This window comes from Homo sapiens, chromosome 6 (genome assembly GCF_000001405.40).
Source record: "Homo sapiens chromosome 6, GRCh38.p14 Primary Assembly".
Classification (NCBI taxonomy): domain Eukaryota; kingdom Metazoa; phylum Chordata; class Mammalia; order Primates; family Hominidae; genus Homo; species Homo sapiens.
Window position 1 is genome coordinate 107913312 of NC_000006.12, and position 17176 is coordinate 107930487.

A 17176-nucleotide genomic window follows, 5' to 3' on the forward strand; every position below is an offset into this window, starting at 1 on the left:
ATTTTTATAATATATACCATATCGCCAATATTTTAAAATCATCATTTACCACACCTTGAGGCCCATCTGGATTTCCAAATTCTTCCCAATTTTTCCGGGACTCTTCATCCGTTAAACTAGCATCAAAAGAACAAAGTTGCAAAATTAGAAAGCCACATCTGAAAAACAAGTACTCATATAGACAAACTCCATTAGCCAACCAACTCATTTCTTAGAAGATACTGATTCCATGAATCAAGAAAAGTTTCTCTGAAATCAGGAGAAAGGGAAAGGGAGGAGCAAGAAATGCGCATTAACAGAAAATGCTAACTATTGCGTCTTGATACTAATTCCTGGTTGGCCCATGGTTCTCAAGCTTAACCAGTTCTCATGTTCAACCAGATGGTTCTCAGTTCAACCAGATCAAACTTTAAAGGCAACTACATTTTCTAAGAAGGCAGGGAGAATTGTAGGCGATTTTTTTCCCCTTATACTCTCATATATTTTCCAAAATTTCTTCAATGAGCATGTTTATACATTAGTAATGATAAATACACATTTTTTAAAAACATAAATTTAATTCATAATGGTAGCTTCCCCACAAAACAATAGCACCACATTCTGAAAGAAACAGATGACCACCACATGTAAAACTCCATTGCTGTGGGTAAGGTAATTTGCACTGTGCTAAGATCACAATTTTCTCCTAAGCCAATTGCCAGAAGAACCAGGAAAATTTCTCCTGAACAGCAGCTTCCTAACCCAGGGAATGTGAAAGTTAAAGAGTAATTTTTAGATACCTAAAATGTAACCCCTGACTTTGACAATGGCTCAAGGTACAGAGTCAAGAATAACTTTATTCCAGTTCCCAGTGAAGATGTTAAAAAGCATTAAAATGAATTCCCAATTCCTTACAAAAATATACAATGTAGTTAAGGAATATAAGGCAGAAACCACCCCACCAACACACACGCTCAAAAATGACCAATAACATAATAAGGAAGACATTCTTGGAGACCAACTGGTAAAAGATCTTCCATATGGTCAAATCTAATTTTAACCGTACTTCTACTTCTCAAAACTTAAGAGGCAATGTAGTTTCTATTTAACAAAACTCCAATCTGAGATAGGCAATGCAGAAATACCTTTATAAAATAGCAAAAAGGACATTCATTAGTTTTCGATGACTTGAAAATATTTTTAAATTTATCAATTTAGTCATTTATGCAAACAGGTGCCTTGATGTCTTTAATCCTTATTTAATTGTAACTCCACTTACACTATTTGATGAAAGGCCACAGAAAAATACAGGAGCCAATAAAAAGCATTACTAGACAGGTTGCAAGATAATAAGGAATAGTGCTAAGATTTTCTTTTCAAAATTGAGGGATGTTTCTCAAAAATTTTGTCCTAGATCCCCTGTACAACTGTCCACCCAACTCAGAGTTTTAGCTTGTTTCTTTCACTATTGTCTTCTAATTGGATCCTTCTGCCCAAAATAACCATCTCTGTCCCCTTCTGCCTTTGTGATTATGCAAAACAAACTGCTCTGTCCTCTATACAATACTCCCAGATTTTGCCAAATAAAGCATAGCTCACATCAGAGACACTCTGATTTTGCAACCTACACAGACCTACGAGTTACGATTACATTAACTCACTCATTAAACTGACTTCTACAACTGCTGTGTGATGGGAACCATGTTGAACATTCAATCTAATAAAATAAGTCAGCAACTTAAAGTCAGTTTAAGAAGCAAATGAATTTTTGTTACTTAGCATTTCAGTATAATACCACTTCTAAGAGTTAAAGTACTTAAAAGCTGCGTAATTTTAGTATAATTCACATTTAACAAGCTTAAACAAGATCAATGATGCTAACAGAATTTTTGAAAATTCAGTGAGTGTAGTTTCCTAAACATGATTATATCCCTTAATTTTTTGGGGGTAACAGAGGACGATTATAGATTCTCTTATGAATCTAAGGAAATCTATGACCCCTTTGCCCTGGGAAAAATGCACATTACAAAGACACATAAATTTTGTATACAATTTCAGGGACTCCAGATCATAAATCTTGATCTAGAGAATGCTTTCACTAAACTGTAAACAAGTGACCATGAGTTGGCTATGCACAGTTATTATAAGTTACATGCTCATCTGTAAAAACCATATGCTTTTATAAAAATTAACATATCTTTAAGGTGACAACAACGCTGCCCACTTGCTATACAATAGCTTTAAAGACAGGTTTTACATCTGAGAGCAAAATCTCAATTCTATCTAGATAATGAACCAGAGAATTCAATGGTATAACTCCTAAAGGAAAGAGTGAAAATCTGATTAAAAAAAAAATGAAATGACCCAGCTGGTTTATTATAATAGGCAACTAAGGAGAGAAAAATGATCTCAAATAACCTAAGCAAGTTCTAAAAAACTTTGCACATCAAAGCCTATATAACTGCATTCCAAGGCTGCTAGAGTTATTCATGAGATAGGAACTTCAACTCAAGCACTTAGAACTTATAGTTGGTAAAATATATACCTTTATCTAATATAGTTATATTTATGCAAGTTACATAATCTCAAAGTTCTAGGTCCCACGATCACTTCACTTTTTCATTGGTCTTACAGAACGTCAACTATTTAAGACATTTTATACATAAAATATTCTACAGTTTAACCACATAACTGAGTTAAAACTAAACACCTTATATTATTCTTGTGCATTTTTCAGAATAGTGACCACACATCATAGTCAGATTTCCAGAAATCTGAGAACAAAATTATAAACTTGAAAATGTTAAAATACCTAAAGACTGGGGGGATAGGGTGGGGGGATTTCACCAAAGCACTAAAATAAAAACTACTAATTAAATAGTCTTGGCTACCTGACTTCCTCTGGAAATGTCTTTTTAAATTACCTGAAGACAGCAATCAAGGCATACCAATACTTGTGAAAAGAGAGTAAATGCTTGAAGGAGACACTAACTGAAAGACAGTAACCTCAAGGACAACTGCTACGCAGAAAATGTAGTACACACTTCAAAAGTCCTAATGGCACTGCTTTATTACAGAATCATATAGTAATTCACATAGATAAACAGCAAGCCACAAAACAAGGGGAGAGAAGAGACATAGTCAATATCCTCTACTAAGTACAAAAATAAGTAAGGTGATATCTCCCAAACTTCTGTCATTTACATGCCACTTTCACAATTTGCTATTATAACTTAGTATGCTATTGCAAGCAAACTTCTTATTGCACTTTGCAGATAATCGTGTTTTTCTGCCATTTGTGTTAACCCTGCATCAAGCAATTCTATCAGTGCCATTTTTCCAACAGCATGTGCTCACTTCATGTCCCTCTCTCACATTTTGGTAAGTCTCACAATATATCTAATGTTTTCACTATTATTTTATCTGTTATAGTGATATGTGATCTTTGACATTTCTATTATCATTGCGGGGCTGGCACACAAACTGCACCTGCAGAAGAAAAAGAACTTAATACATATGTGTTTCAAATGCTCCACTCACTGGCCATTCCCCCATCTCTCTCCCACTCCTCATGCCTCCCTATTCCCTGAGACACACAAGATTCAAATTGGGCAAATTACTAACCCTAAAATGGCCTCTGTTGGGAGCAAGCCCCCACAAAATCTGGCCATAAACTGGCCCCAAGACTGGCCATAAACGAAATCTCTGCAGCACTGTAACATGTTCATAATGGCCCTAACACACGCGCTGGAAGGTTGTGGGTTTACCGGAATGAGGGCAAGAACACCTGGCCCACCCAGAGCAGAAAACTGCTTAAAGGCATTCTTAAGCCACAAACAACAGCATGAGCGATTTGTACCTTAAGGACATGCTCCTGCTGCAGTTAACTAGCCCAACCTATTCCTTTAATTCGGCCCATCCCTTCATTTCCCATAAGGGATACTTTTAGTTAATTTAGTATCTATAGAAACAATGCTAATGACTGGTTTGCTGTTAATAGATATGTGGGTAAATCTCTGTTTGGGGTGCTCAGCTCTGAAGGCTGTGAGACCCCTAATTTCCCACTTCACACCTCTCTATTTCTGTATGTGTGTCTTTAATTCCTCTAGGGCCGCTGGGTTAGGGTCTCCCTGACCGAGCTGGTCTCGGCGGGCCTCTAAATGTTTAAACGAAAAAAGACTCACACGTCTCTCACTCTGAATCAAAAGCTAGAAATGACTAAGCTTAGTGAAGAAGGCATGTCAAAAGCCAAAACAAGCCAAAAGCTAGGCCTCTTGTGCCAGACAGTCAAGTTGTGAATTCAGAGCAACAGCGCTTAAAGGAACTTAAAAGTGAACACACAAATAATAAGAAAGTGAAACAGCCTTGTTGCTGATTTGAAGAATGTTTCAGTGGTCTCGACAGAAGATCAAACTACCCACAATGTTCCCTTAAACCAAAGCCTAATCCAAAGCAAGGCCCTAACGAAGGCTGAGAGAGGTGAGGGAGCTGCAGAAGCTAGCAGATGTTGGTCCACAAGATTTTCCAAAAGAAACCATCTCTACAACAGAAGTGCAAGGTGAAGTAGCAAGTGCTGATTTGGAAGCTGCAGCAAGTTATCCAGAAGATCTAGCTAAGATCACAATGAAGGTGGCTAAACAACAAATTTTCAATGTAGACAAAATAGCCTTATACTGGAAAAATATGCCATTTAGGACTTTCACTGCTGGAGAGAAATAAATGCCTGACTTCAAAGCTTCAAAAGACAGGCTGACTTTCTTGGTAGGGGCTAACGTTGCTGGCGACTTTAACTTGAAGCCAATGCTGGTGTGCCATTCCAAAAGTCCTAGAGCTCTTAAGATCTATGCTAAATCTATTCTGCCATGCTCTATAAATAGAACAACAAATCCTTGATGACAGCATGTGTTGACAGCATGGATTACTGAATATTTTAGGCCCACTGTTGAGACCTGCTCAAAAAAAAAAAAATGATTCCTTTCAAAAGATTACTGCTCATTGACAACGCACGTGGTCACTCAAGAACTCTGATGGAGCTGTACAAACAGATTAATGTTTTCACACCTGCTAACACAACATTCATTCTGCAGCACACAGATCAAAAAGTAATTTTGACTTTTAAGTCTTATTATTTAAGAAATAGTAAGACTTGCACTGAGCAATTTCAGAGGCCGAGGTGGGCAGATCACCTGAGGTCAGGAGTTCAAGACTAGCCTGACCAACATAAAACCCTGTCTCTACTAAAAATACAATAATTTGCCAGGCATGGTGGTGCATGCCTGTAGTCCGAGCTACTCGGGAGGCTGAGGAAGAAGAATTGCTTGAATCCAGGAGGCAAAGGTAGCAGTAAGCCAAGATCGCAGCAATGCACTCCAGCCTGGGCAACAGAGTGAGACTCCATCTCAAAAAAAAAAAAACAAAAAACAAAAAGAAGACATACACTTTGTAAAGCTATAGCTGCTACAGACACAGTGATACCTCTGATGGATCTGGGTAAAGTAAATTGAAAACCTTCTGGAAAGGATTCACTATTCTAAATGCCATTAAGAACATTTGTGATTCACAGGAAGAGGCCAAAATGTCAACATCAAGAGGAGTTTGGTAGAAGCTGATTTCCTTTTTTTTTTTTTTTTTTTTTTTTGAGACAGAGTCTCACTCTGTCGCCCAGGCTGGAGTGCAATGGCACAATCTTGGCCCACCCCAACCTCCGCCTCCCAGGTTCAAGTGAGTCTCCTGCCTCAGCCTCTCAAGTAGCTGGGATTACAGGCATGCCCCACCACACCCGGCTAAGTTTGAATTTTTAGTAGAGATAGAGTTTTCTCCATGTTGGTCAGGCTGGTCTCAAACTCCTCACCTCAGGTGATCCACCTGCCTCGGCCTCCCAAAGTGCTGGGATTACAGGCATGAGCTACCGCGCCTGGCCAGAAGTTGATTTCAACCTTCATGGATGACTTGGAGCAGTTCAAGACTTCAGTAGAGAAAGTCACTACAGATGTGCTAGAAATAGCAGGAGAACTAAACAAGTGGAACCTGAAGATGTGACTGAATTGCTGCAATCTCATGATCGAACTTGAACAGATGAGTTGCTTCTTATAGTTGAGCAAAGTAGCTTCTTAAGATGGTATCTATTCCTGATGAAGATGCTGTGAACATTGTTGAAATCACAATAAAGGATTTAAAATATTACGTAAACTTAGTTGATAAAGCAGTGGCAGAATGTGAGAGGATTGACTCCAATTTTGAAAGAAGTTCTGGCTGAGCACGGTGGTTCACACCTGTAATCCCAGCACTTTGGGAGGCCAAGGCAGGCGTATCACAAGGTCAGGAAATCAAGACCATCCTGGCTAACGTGGTGAAACCCCATCTCTACTAAAAATATTAAAAATTAGCCGGGCATGTTGGCGGGTGCCTGTAGTCCCAGCTACTCGGGAGGCTGAGGCAGGAGAATGGCGTGAACCCGGGAGGCGGAAGTTGCAGTGAGCCAAGATCGCGCCACTCCACTCCAGCCTGGGCGACAGAGCAAGACTCCATCTCAAAAAAAAAAAAGAAAAAGAAAACAAAGAAGTTCTGTCCATAAAATACTATCAAATAGCATCACATGCTAGAGAAATCTTTCATGAAAAGAATTTAAATGATGTAGTCAATTTAATTGTCGTCTTATTTTAAGAAATTGTCACAGCCAGCCCAACCTTCAGTAACCACTATCCTGATCAGTCAACAGCCATCAACATCAAGGCAAGACCCTCCACCAGCAAAAAGAATGTAATTTGTCAAAGGCTCAGATTACTAGCATTTTTTAGCCATACAGTATTTTTAAATTAAGGTATGTACATTGTTTTTTAAGACATAAGGCTGGCTGGGCACAGTGGCTCACTCCTGTAATCCCAGCACTTTGGGAGGCCGAGGCGGGAGGATCACGACGTCAGGAAATCGAGACCATCCTGGCTAACATGGTAAAACCCCATCTCTGCTAAAAATACAAAAAAACATTAGCCGGGCGTGGTGGCAGGCACCTGTAGTCCCAGCTATTCGGGAGACTGAGGCAGGAGAATGGCATGAACCTGGGAGGCAAAGCTTGCAGTGAGCCGAGATAGCGCCACTGCAGTCCAGCCTGGGCGAAAGAGCGAGACTCCGTCTCAAAAAAAAAAAAAAAAAAAAAAAAAGACATAAGGCTACTGCACGCTTAATAGACTATGGTGTAGTATAAACAACTTTTATATGCAGTAGGAAACAAAAAAATTTGTGACTCACTTTATTGCAATATTTGCTTTATTGCAGGAGACTGGAACTGAACCTATAGTATCTCCAAAGTATGCTTGTATTTATTTACACGTTTAAATTGAGTTCACAAAATTATACATCACTGAGTCCTCAAAAGACAGACAATCTCATATTTCACTCTTTCATTCAATGTAAGAGCTATGTGGGGATGTACTTATGAAGAGTCCTGAAGAATCTAGTTAAGTTTTATCTCTTGGAAGATTAATACGCAAGAGATCACTGCATCTAATGTTACACACTCTATTCTGCTTCCCAAAAGGGTGCACAAATGTTCCTCAAACTTTATAAATACACAGACATATGTGTGTGCATATAACGCATATGTGAATATATGTATCTCATAATAACAATGCACCTTACCTAAGGCATAAGACCAACAAGGAAAATTATTTGGAAGTTCTGAAAAGATTTGTGAAGACAGTTTCTGAGCAGTGAAAAAGGAGACCTTAAAAATCCACATCTCAACAAGTACAGTTGTTATTAACTAAGAATAATCTTGTGTGACGAAATTCTAAAAAGAAAAAGACACCAAAAATGAAGTACTTAAAAGTCCAAATTAAACTTGTCTTTAAATAGTTTAAATGAGATAAGCTACACATTGCCAAAACAAGAGAAACAGATCAAGCCTAAAAAAAAAAAATCTAGAAATGGTAAGATCTAAGTATACCCTCCTCTAATCAAAATGCTAATAAAATAGCTCAATTAACTTATCATTCACCACTTAATTTAATCAAGTTTACATGGCAAAAATTACAGTTTAATTAAATTAAATTACCACGTTAGTGCTGCTGTGTAGCCCCTAAATGATAGACTCAACATGAAGTAAGCACTTGGAAAAAGTGTATGACAACTATTTTAATATTTTATTAAAACAGAAAACTATCCTTTTTTTTTTTTTCTTTAGAGATGGAGTATTACTGTCATCGAAGTTGGGCTGCAGTGGCATGGTCACGGCTCACTGCAGCCTTGACCTCCCAGGCTCAAACAACGCTCCCACCTCAGCCTCCCAAGTAGCTAGGACTACAGGCACACACCACCACACAGGGTTAATTCTTTTATTTTTTGTAGAGATGGGGTCTTGGTATGTTGCCAGGGATGGTCTCAAACTCCTGGGCTCAAGCGATCCTCCTGCCTCAGCCTCCCAAAGTACTGGGATTACAGGCATGAACCACTGCACCTGGCTTATCTGTACCATTCTTAAAAATTTGTAATGGATCCTGATACTTACGCAGCATAAGCTTTTGCTATCCTCATGAACATAACCTCATCACCTCCTTTATCTGGATGATATTTAAGTGACAGCAAACGATATTGTTTTTTAATTTCTGCTACTGTGGCTCCCTGGGGAAAAACAAAAAAAAAAAACAAGCTTTCTGTTAGCAAAAATAAGCACAATTCTGTAAAGAAATAATCAATCCTATTTTGAACTTAAAATATGAACTACTCAGTATTTTGAGAAAGACAAAATCCATTTTTCATCCTATATATTTTTCCCATAAATTTCATCCCATATATTAAATAAAAACACTTATATTGTCCAATATATGTATTTTATTGAGCACCTACTATGTGCCACATAGTAAACTAAGCACTGATAATTTGAAAGTGAAAACAGATGACAAATTTACATAAAATAATACTGACATTTAAATATCAAAAAATAGGCCAGGCACAGCCTGTAATCCCAGCACTTTGGAAGCCAAGGTGGGCGGATCACCTGAGGTCAGGAGTTCAAGACCAGCTTGGCCAACATATAGTGAAACCCCAACTCTACTAAAAAATACAAAAATTAGCTCGTGTGGTGATGCACACCTGTAGTCCCAGCTACTTGGGAAGGTGAAGCAGGAGAATCACTTGAACTCAGGAGGTAGAGGCTGCAGTGAGCTGAGACTACGCCACTGCACTCCAGCCTAGCTGACAGAGTGAGACTTCGTCTCTCAAAAAATGAAGATAAAAATAAATAAATATCAAAAAATAATCACAATAAATTAAATCTGGCTCAAAGAATCCTCAAATCAAAGGTTAACTTTCTAAGGAATAATCTGAGGAATACCTGGTTTCAGCTGCTTGTCTATCAAGTTGACCTTAATGGTTTCTTAGTCTCGATTTCTATTAATAATTTTTTCACTGTTTTTTATTGCCCTTCTAATCTTAAAATCTCTCTTAATGACTATGATCAATGCAATAAGAAAAAAATCACATGATATGTAAACTTTTCTTCTACAAAACAGAAAACTAGATGATACACACCCTCCTTAGTTTGTATTATATGAATGTCTGGATCAAGCCATCTACTGAGCAAAGACTCAAAGTAAAAGTAAGTGCCATGGGGGAGAAAATAGAAAGAGCACTAGATTGAGCTTGGCTACTAAGTAAGAAGCTTGGAACCCCAGACAAGACACAAATTATCCAGGCCTCATTTTCTTTAAAAAAAAAAAAATTAATAAATAGGGAATACATACATATATATTCAGGGCAACTTGAATATATGCTCCCAGGTTTAAAAAATTATATATTTTTATAAAAGGCTAGATGATCTCTATCATTAATTTCAGTTCTAACATTCTACTGATAAACACAAAAGATTTTTTTTTTGAGACAGTCTTGCTCTGTCGCCCAGGCTGGAGTGCAGTGGTGCAATCACAGCTCGCTGCAGCCTTGACTTCCCAAGTGGCTGGAACCACAGGGGTGTGTCACCACGTTCAGCTAATTGTGTTAGTTTTTTGTACAGATGAGGGTTTCCCTATGTTGCCCAGGCTGGTCTCAAACTCTTGGCCTCAAGCAATCCTCCTACCTCAGCCTCCCAAAGTACTGATATTATAGGCACGAGCCACTGCGGCTGGCCAAAAGACTAGTTTTCTATTTAGAACCCATTAATCAGGTTTAATCAAAAAATCACCTAAGGGGCACACTCAAGGTTAACCTAAATTTCCATGACAATGACATTAATGATACTAGTTTCACTTTAGTTTTAAGAGACAGGGTCTCACTCTGCTGCCCAGGCTAGAGTGCAATGGTGCGGATCATGGCTCACTCATCTCAACCTTCTTGGCTCAAACTATCCTCTCACTTTGGCCTCCCAAGTAGCTAGGACTATAGGTGTGTTGCTATCACACCCAGGTAATTTTTTTTTTTTTTTTTTGATACAGCCTGGGTGTCACTATGTTGCCCAAACTCCTGACCTCAAGCGATCCTCCCACCTTAGCTTCCCAAAGTGCTAGGATTACAGGTGTAAGCCACCGTTCCTGGCTGATATTAGTTCTTTCTAAGACCCCCAACCTAGATTTTACATTGCTTAAGTGTCAATGAATACAAGGTCATAAGATTTTTATCATTCAACTAACACAAATTATCCTCCCAGTTTTAACTTTGCATTAACCAATATTACAGATCTCTCTTAAAAATATGCCTTTAGGCTGGGCACGGTGGCTCACGCCTGTAATCCCAGCACTTTGGGAGGCCAAGGCGGGTGGATCATGAGGTCAGGAGATTGAGACCATCCTGGCTAACATGGTGAAACCCCATCTCTACTAAAAATACAAAAAATTAGCCAGGCGTGATGGCAGGTGCCTGTAGTCCCAGCTACTTGGGAGGCTGAGGCAGGAGAATGGCATGAACCCAGGAGGCAGAGTTTGCAGTGAGCCGACGTCGTGCCACTGCACTCCAGCCTGGGCAACAGAGCAAAACTCCGTCTCAAAAAAAAAAAAAGCCTTTAAAAAATGTTAACCGGCCGGGCGCGGTGGCTCACGCCTGTAATCCTAGCACTTTGGGAGGCCGAGGTGGGCAGATCACAAGGTCAGGAGATCGAGACCATCCTGGCTAACATGGTGAAACCCCGTTTCTACTAAAAATACAAAAAATTAGACAGGCGTGATGGCGGGCGCCTACCTGGGAGGCTGAGGTAGGAGAATGGCGTGAACCCAGGAGGCGGAGCTTGCAGTGAGCCGAGATCACACCACTACACTCCAGCCTGGGCTACAGAGTGAGACTCTGTAAAAAAAAATGTTAACCTCTCCTCTCATCTTCAAATATTCTTATATTTTAGCAATTGAAAACCAATTATTAATAACATAACAATCAACAGTTATAGCTTAAATTATAATAACAGAGGATTAGACATCTTATTTTAATAAACAAACTGACCAAAGTCTGATTTCTATAGGAATAGACAATTTCTTTTAGAATGAGGACCTATAGCATTTTCATGGGACCATTAAACTAATATGCATTATATAAAAATACTACTTACAGGATCCAAATTTAATACTTCATAAGGATTGTATTCTTGGTATTCTCGGTCTGTTTTGGAAACTTTATATGCAAGGAATAAGAACAATGCCCATCCTGCAAGCAGAACTATTTTCCTGTTTAGGAAAAAGGTAAGTGAATCATAAACAAATACATCTGCATAGAGTCTAAAGACATTATGGCAAGGTCAAGGCAAAAACTCTACAGTAGTACCATATCACTATGCTACTGACTCAAATTCTACAATCACTGGGTTACAAACTCCTGTTACAGCAACGACAGTGTCTTTTTTACCTCTGCATTCTTTATAATCTAGTACAGTGTCTACTATTCATAGATTTTCTCAGTTACTATTTGCACAATTTTAAATACAGAAGTGAATTCAACTTATTAACTTACTGGACGCATTAAATTAGATCAAAATAAATAAATACTAAGTAAACCATTTAATGTAAAAAAGAATTGCTCTGACCCAGCAATTACACTTTTATTAAGATAAACTAGGAAAAACAATTGGTCAATTGTGCAAAAATAAATACATAGCCTTGTTTATAGTAGTAAAACTTTGGAAACAACCTAAATTACGGCTCACAGGAACTGATTAAATAAACTATTTACAAAGAAATAATTAAATAAACCATGATACAGCCACACAATGCAACATTTTGTAGCCAATAAATAGTTATAGAAGGATGTTCATAATCGGTTAAAATAAAGGTATAAAAGAACATATCATTTGAAAATAAACTAATTTCTGCTCCCTCCAATGTGTTCTAGTGAGTAAAATTATGTAAAAGATTAACATTACCAGCACTGGAGAGGTTAAAGAAAAAGAGAAACTCTCATACACTATACACTCTAAAGTAATATCTGGCAGTAAGGTATTAAAAGCCCTAAAGAAATACATACCGTTTTTCTATCAAACCATTTCACTTCAAATAATTTGGAAAGAATAAGTCTAAAATGGCGGTCACAGATGTAAATAAGAGAAAGTATTTCACTGTAGAGATGTATCATTAGTTCATTTGTACATTTGATTAACTTTTTTTTTTAGACGGAGTCTCGCTCTGTTGCCCAGGCTGGAGTGCAATGGCACGATCTTGGCTCACAGCAACTTCAGCCTCCTGAGTAGCTGAAACTACAAGCACATGCCACCACACCCGGCTAATTTTTGTATTTTTAGTAGAGATGGGGTTTCACCATGTTGGCCAGGCTGGTCTCAAACTCCTGACCTCAAGTGATCCGCTCGCCTCAGCCTCCCAAAGTGCTGGAATTACAGGGGTGAGCGACTGCGCCCAGCCTCTACAGTGAAATACTTTCTGGCTACTAAAAATATTTGCTGTGGATGACTATCTATCTTATATTGTTAAATTTACAAAACAGCTTTCAAAACTCTATGTATATAAAAGTTTTATTATAAATAAGTGCATAAAGTAATTATCTTAATAATAACTAGCTTTAGGTGATGAATGACTTTTATTTCTTATACTGAATGACTTTTATTTCTTATACCCTTTGTATGACAATTTGTTACACTGAGCAAGAACTGTTAGACAAAGACATCAAATGAATCTTAAGAGGCCAAATTAAACAAAATTGGAATGATTTGTTTTTAAATCATGATCATGGCTCACTGCAGCCTCGACCTCCCAGGCTCAAGCAATCCTCCCACCTCAGCCTCCCAAAGCACTGGAATTAAGGCATGAGCCACCGCGGCCAGCCTACAACAGCAAACTTTTTTTTAACACTTTTTAAACCCAAAATTTGGTAATAGCCTCAATATGCTAAAAACAAAACAAAACAAAAATTGAAAATATGCTTTATTCCCACAAGAATTAACTCCCCTTTTGTTTTCCCAACTCATCCAAAAGGCTAACAAACAAAGCTCACAAAACAAAGATAAAATGAAATTGGAAACCAAAAAAGCAAGATTTAAAACCAAGCAAGGCAAAAGGAACAAAACACCTAGGATATGCTAAACCGTATGTTTTACATGGAGCATCCAGTTCTCCAAGCCAAGGAATGAGAAGAGGAAAGGAGAAGCTCATAACAGAATCCAAAGGCTGATGAAAATTACCACAACCAATAAAGCCATGCTCTACAGTTTCCTGAGAGCCAAAGCAAAGATAGAAACATAACGGATCACATCATGCTCTGTGCTCAATTTTTTTAAAAAACCTGTTTGGTTCCTCTGAAAAGATAAGCATTTTCCCCATACTTGGCTTCAGTAATTAACTTCAAGTGTCATCTTTTTTTCTGGGTGGGGAATGGAGTCTTACTCTGTCACCCAGGCTGGAGTGCAGTGGCACAATCTCGGCTCACTGCAACCTCCACCTCCTGGGCTCAAGCAATTCTCCTGCCTCAGCCTCCGGAGTAGCTGGGACCACAGGCACGCACCACCATGCCTGGCTAATTTTTTGTATTTTTTTAGTAGAGACAGGGTTTCACTATGTTGGCCAGGCTGGTCTCCAACTCCTGACCTCAGGGGATCCGCCCACCTCGGCCTCCCAAAGTGCTCGGATTACAGGCATGAGCCACCACGCCCAGCCTGAAGGGTCATCTTTAGAAGCAACTTCCAAAAATTACATGCCTTAGTTTCGCACATGTGTCAGAAAAGAAGCATTACCCAATTGTTTAACTTTGAAAGAATGCTTCAAGATTAAGTAGTAAAAGTTTTAATGGTTTATGACCTTATCTAAATTGTTACCAGTATATATTTAATTCTTCCTTACCTAAACTCCCTTAATCTGTACTTTAATTAAATCACTTTATTAATCACTAAAAAAGCTTCATAAAAGTTTTTTTCCTTGAAAACAGGTTCAGATACCCACAAAGTGTTGAACAAAGCCAGATAAGAGACTGGGAGGCCAAAAATACATGCGTCCCTTGGTATCCTCAGGGGACTGATTCCAGGACCCCCACAGATACTAAAATCCATGGATGCTCAAGTCCGCAGTATAAAATGATGTAGTATTTGCATATAACCTATATACATCCTCCCATGCACATTAGATCATCTCTAAATTACTGATATTACCTAATATAATACACACTGTGGAAACAGTTATTACACTGTATTTTCATTTATACTTTTAATTGTTGTATTGTTATTTTTATTGCTTTTTTCCCCCAAATATTTTCGATTCACAGTTGGGTGAATCTTCCCACTTGGAACCCGCAGATATGGGGGGGAGGGGCGGATTGTTTTCTGTCTTGCTGCTTTAGGAAAATTTAATTCAAAATGAGAACCAACAGTAAAGAATAAACAGTGAAGAGAAAATTACTCTTTTCAAGACTAACTTTGCCTTTAGTTTCACATCATTAAAGAACTCTTAACACCAAAGCTAGAATTTCCCTCCTCCTACAAAGAAACTAAACTGGGTGGCTCATGCAAGGTGGCTCACGCCTGTGATCCTACCACTTTTGGAGGCCGAGGCAGGCAGACCACTTGAGCCCAAGAGTTCGAGACCAGCCTGGGGAACATGGTGAAACCCCATCCCTATAAAAAATACAAAAAAAAAAGTTAACCAGGTGTAGTGGCATGCACCTGTACTCCCACCTACTCAGGAGGCTGAGGTGGGAGGATGCCTGAGCCCAAGGAGGCTGAGGCTGCAGTGAGCCAAGATAGTGCCACTGCACTCCAGCCTGGGCAACAGAGCAAGACTCTGTCTCAAAAAAAAAAAAAAGAAAAGAAAAATAAACTAAATTAGGTAAAGTAAAACCTTACAAAGAAAAACTAAACGCCCTGAAATTATGCTGAAAAAAAACTATCATTTAAACCAAGATTTCTAAATAACTGTTTCTACTCTCACTAATTTCTTTTGCTACATCTTCTCTTCCAATCTACTGGATAAATGTAGGTAATTCACAAGACATAGTAGTCCAATAATGGTAACTCTCTCACCTCCTGTCAGTTTCATCTATTACCTCTAAACTGATGACGCAGGATAAATGTCCAAAGCCTTGTGTTTAACCAGTACACCCCATAGCCTCACAGGATTAAACTGGTCTGCTGTAACTAAACATGTTAATGGCCTGTTTAAAATAAAGGGTGATTAGGTCCCTGATCCAACACTTCTAACTACATGACTTTGGTCAAGTTATGTCATCATTCTTAGCCTTTGTTTCCTCATCTGAGAAAATGCAAAACCATCTACTTTGAAGTTAATACAGAATTAAATTAGATAACATATAAAGCCCTAGCACAGATTCTAGCATACAGTATGTGCTCAATAAACTTTAATTATCACCATGAAATGCTAACTTGTTCATGTCACCTCTCCACTTCTGAAATCTTTTAAAGATTCCCCCATAGTCTTTAAGATAAAATTCAAATCTTGGCACAAGGTGCACAAGGTCCCTCAAGATATGACTTATCTCTTTCTACCCCCGACCTCCAGCAACAGTATACTCCCCTTCCTTTGAACTTCTAAACCAATCTGTTCAGACTGTTCCCACATTTTCTCCTATCTTACCCTTACTATAGATTACAATTTCTTTACAGACACAATGACTTATTCATCATTACACGTATATGTTGTATGACCTAGCAAAGAGTAAGCATTAAGTAGGTTTTTTTCTTGAAATCCATTACTTACTTTACTGTAGGAATAATATTTGGCTGGGGTTTTAATAACCGTAAACGATACCACATACACCTTCCATATACTTTTCTGATATTCTTTAATCGAATTTGCTCTGTCAAGAAAGAAAAATAAGATGAATTAAAAACCATTTTTCACAAGTGAAGGTAAAACCAGCTAACTGGTTAACTAACCTTCATTACCACGCTAATAGTTTAATGGAACATGAAATTACTGCCTATTCAAATAGCCTTTAAAAAACTTACAAGATAGGTTAAATTGTCTGCCATTTAGAACAAACAACCTATCTAGAAAATTTCATTCAACTACCAAGTGACCATTTTGGAAATGAGACTTAATGAAAACACAAAAACTGACTTGCACCCAAAATATTTAGTCAGATATAATCAGTAATTTCTGGGAAATTCTCTCCCTCTTTCCCCTCTGCTATAGAAGGAACAAGAAGTATAAAATAGTTAAAACATGGTTTATTAAGGAAGCTAAGCAGAAATAATACTCTTCAAACACAAAAATAAATGCCTATCAAAATGTCTTCTAATCAACAAAGTTTAGATCTCATCTATTTAAGATATAAAACTAGTAAGATTTAGAGCTGTAACATAAAATCAACTTGCAGTTAAAACAAAGGTAGAGTGCTTGCTTCAGCAGCACATACACTAAAACCGGAGCAGGACATACGCTAAAACCGGAGCAATACAGAGAAGATTAGCATGGCCCTCACCCAAAGATGACACGCAAATTTGCAAAGTATTCTTTTTTTTTTTTTTTTTTTTTTTTGTAGAAACTGGGTCTTGCTATGTTGCCAAGGCTGGTCTCAAACTCCTGGCCTCAAGCACTCCTCCTGCCTCAGAGCACCCCCGTCCCCAAAAAAAGCACCATTTAAAATTTTTATTTTAAAAAAAAAAGGGGGCCGGGCGCGGTGGCTCACGCCTGTAATCCCGGCACTTTGGGAGGCTGAGGCGGGCAGATCACCTGAGGTCAGGAGTTCGAGACCAGCCTCAACATGGAGAAACCCTGTCTCTACCAAAAATACAAAATTAGCCAGGCGTGGTGGTGCATGCCTGTAA

At 38.3% G+C, this 17176-nt stretch overlaps 1 protein-coding gene and 1 pseudogene across 3 annotated transcripts in view; one reads left to right on the top strand and one right to left on the bottom strand.

The window, feature by feature from the left end:
- SEC63 (SEC63 protein translocation regulator) overlaps positions 1 to 17176 on the bottom strand; it is a 90453-nt gene that overhangs the window by 45556 nt on the left and 27721 nt on the right. For 2 of the 3 annotated variants that reach the window (NM_007214.5, XM_047418130.1), the window contains exons 2-5: positions 16104 to 16203; positions 11507 to 11621; positions 8486 to 8598; positions 55 to 116 (exon numbers count right to left, since the gene is read on the bottom strand). In NM_007214.5, the coding sequence (NP_009145.1) occupies positions 55 to 116; positions 8486 to 8598; positions 11507 to 11621; positions 16104 to 16203 (390 nt within the window). The remainder of the gene's footprint in view (positions 1 to 54; positions 117 to 8485; positions 8599 to 11506; positions 11622 to 16103; positions 16204 to 17176) is intronic. The other variant, XM_047418131.1, reaches the window with a different exon arrangement.
- RNU6-437P (RNA, U6 small nuclear 437, pseudogene) lies at positions 16777 to 16871 on the top strand (annotated as a pseudogene).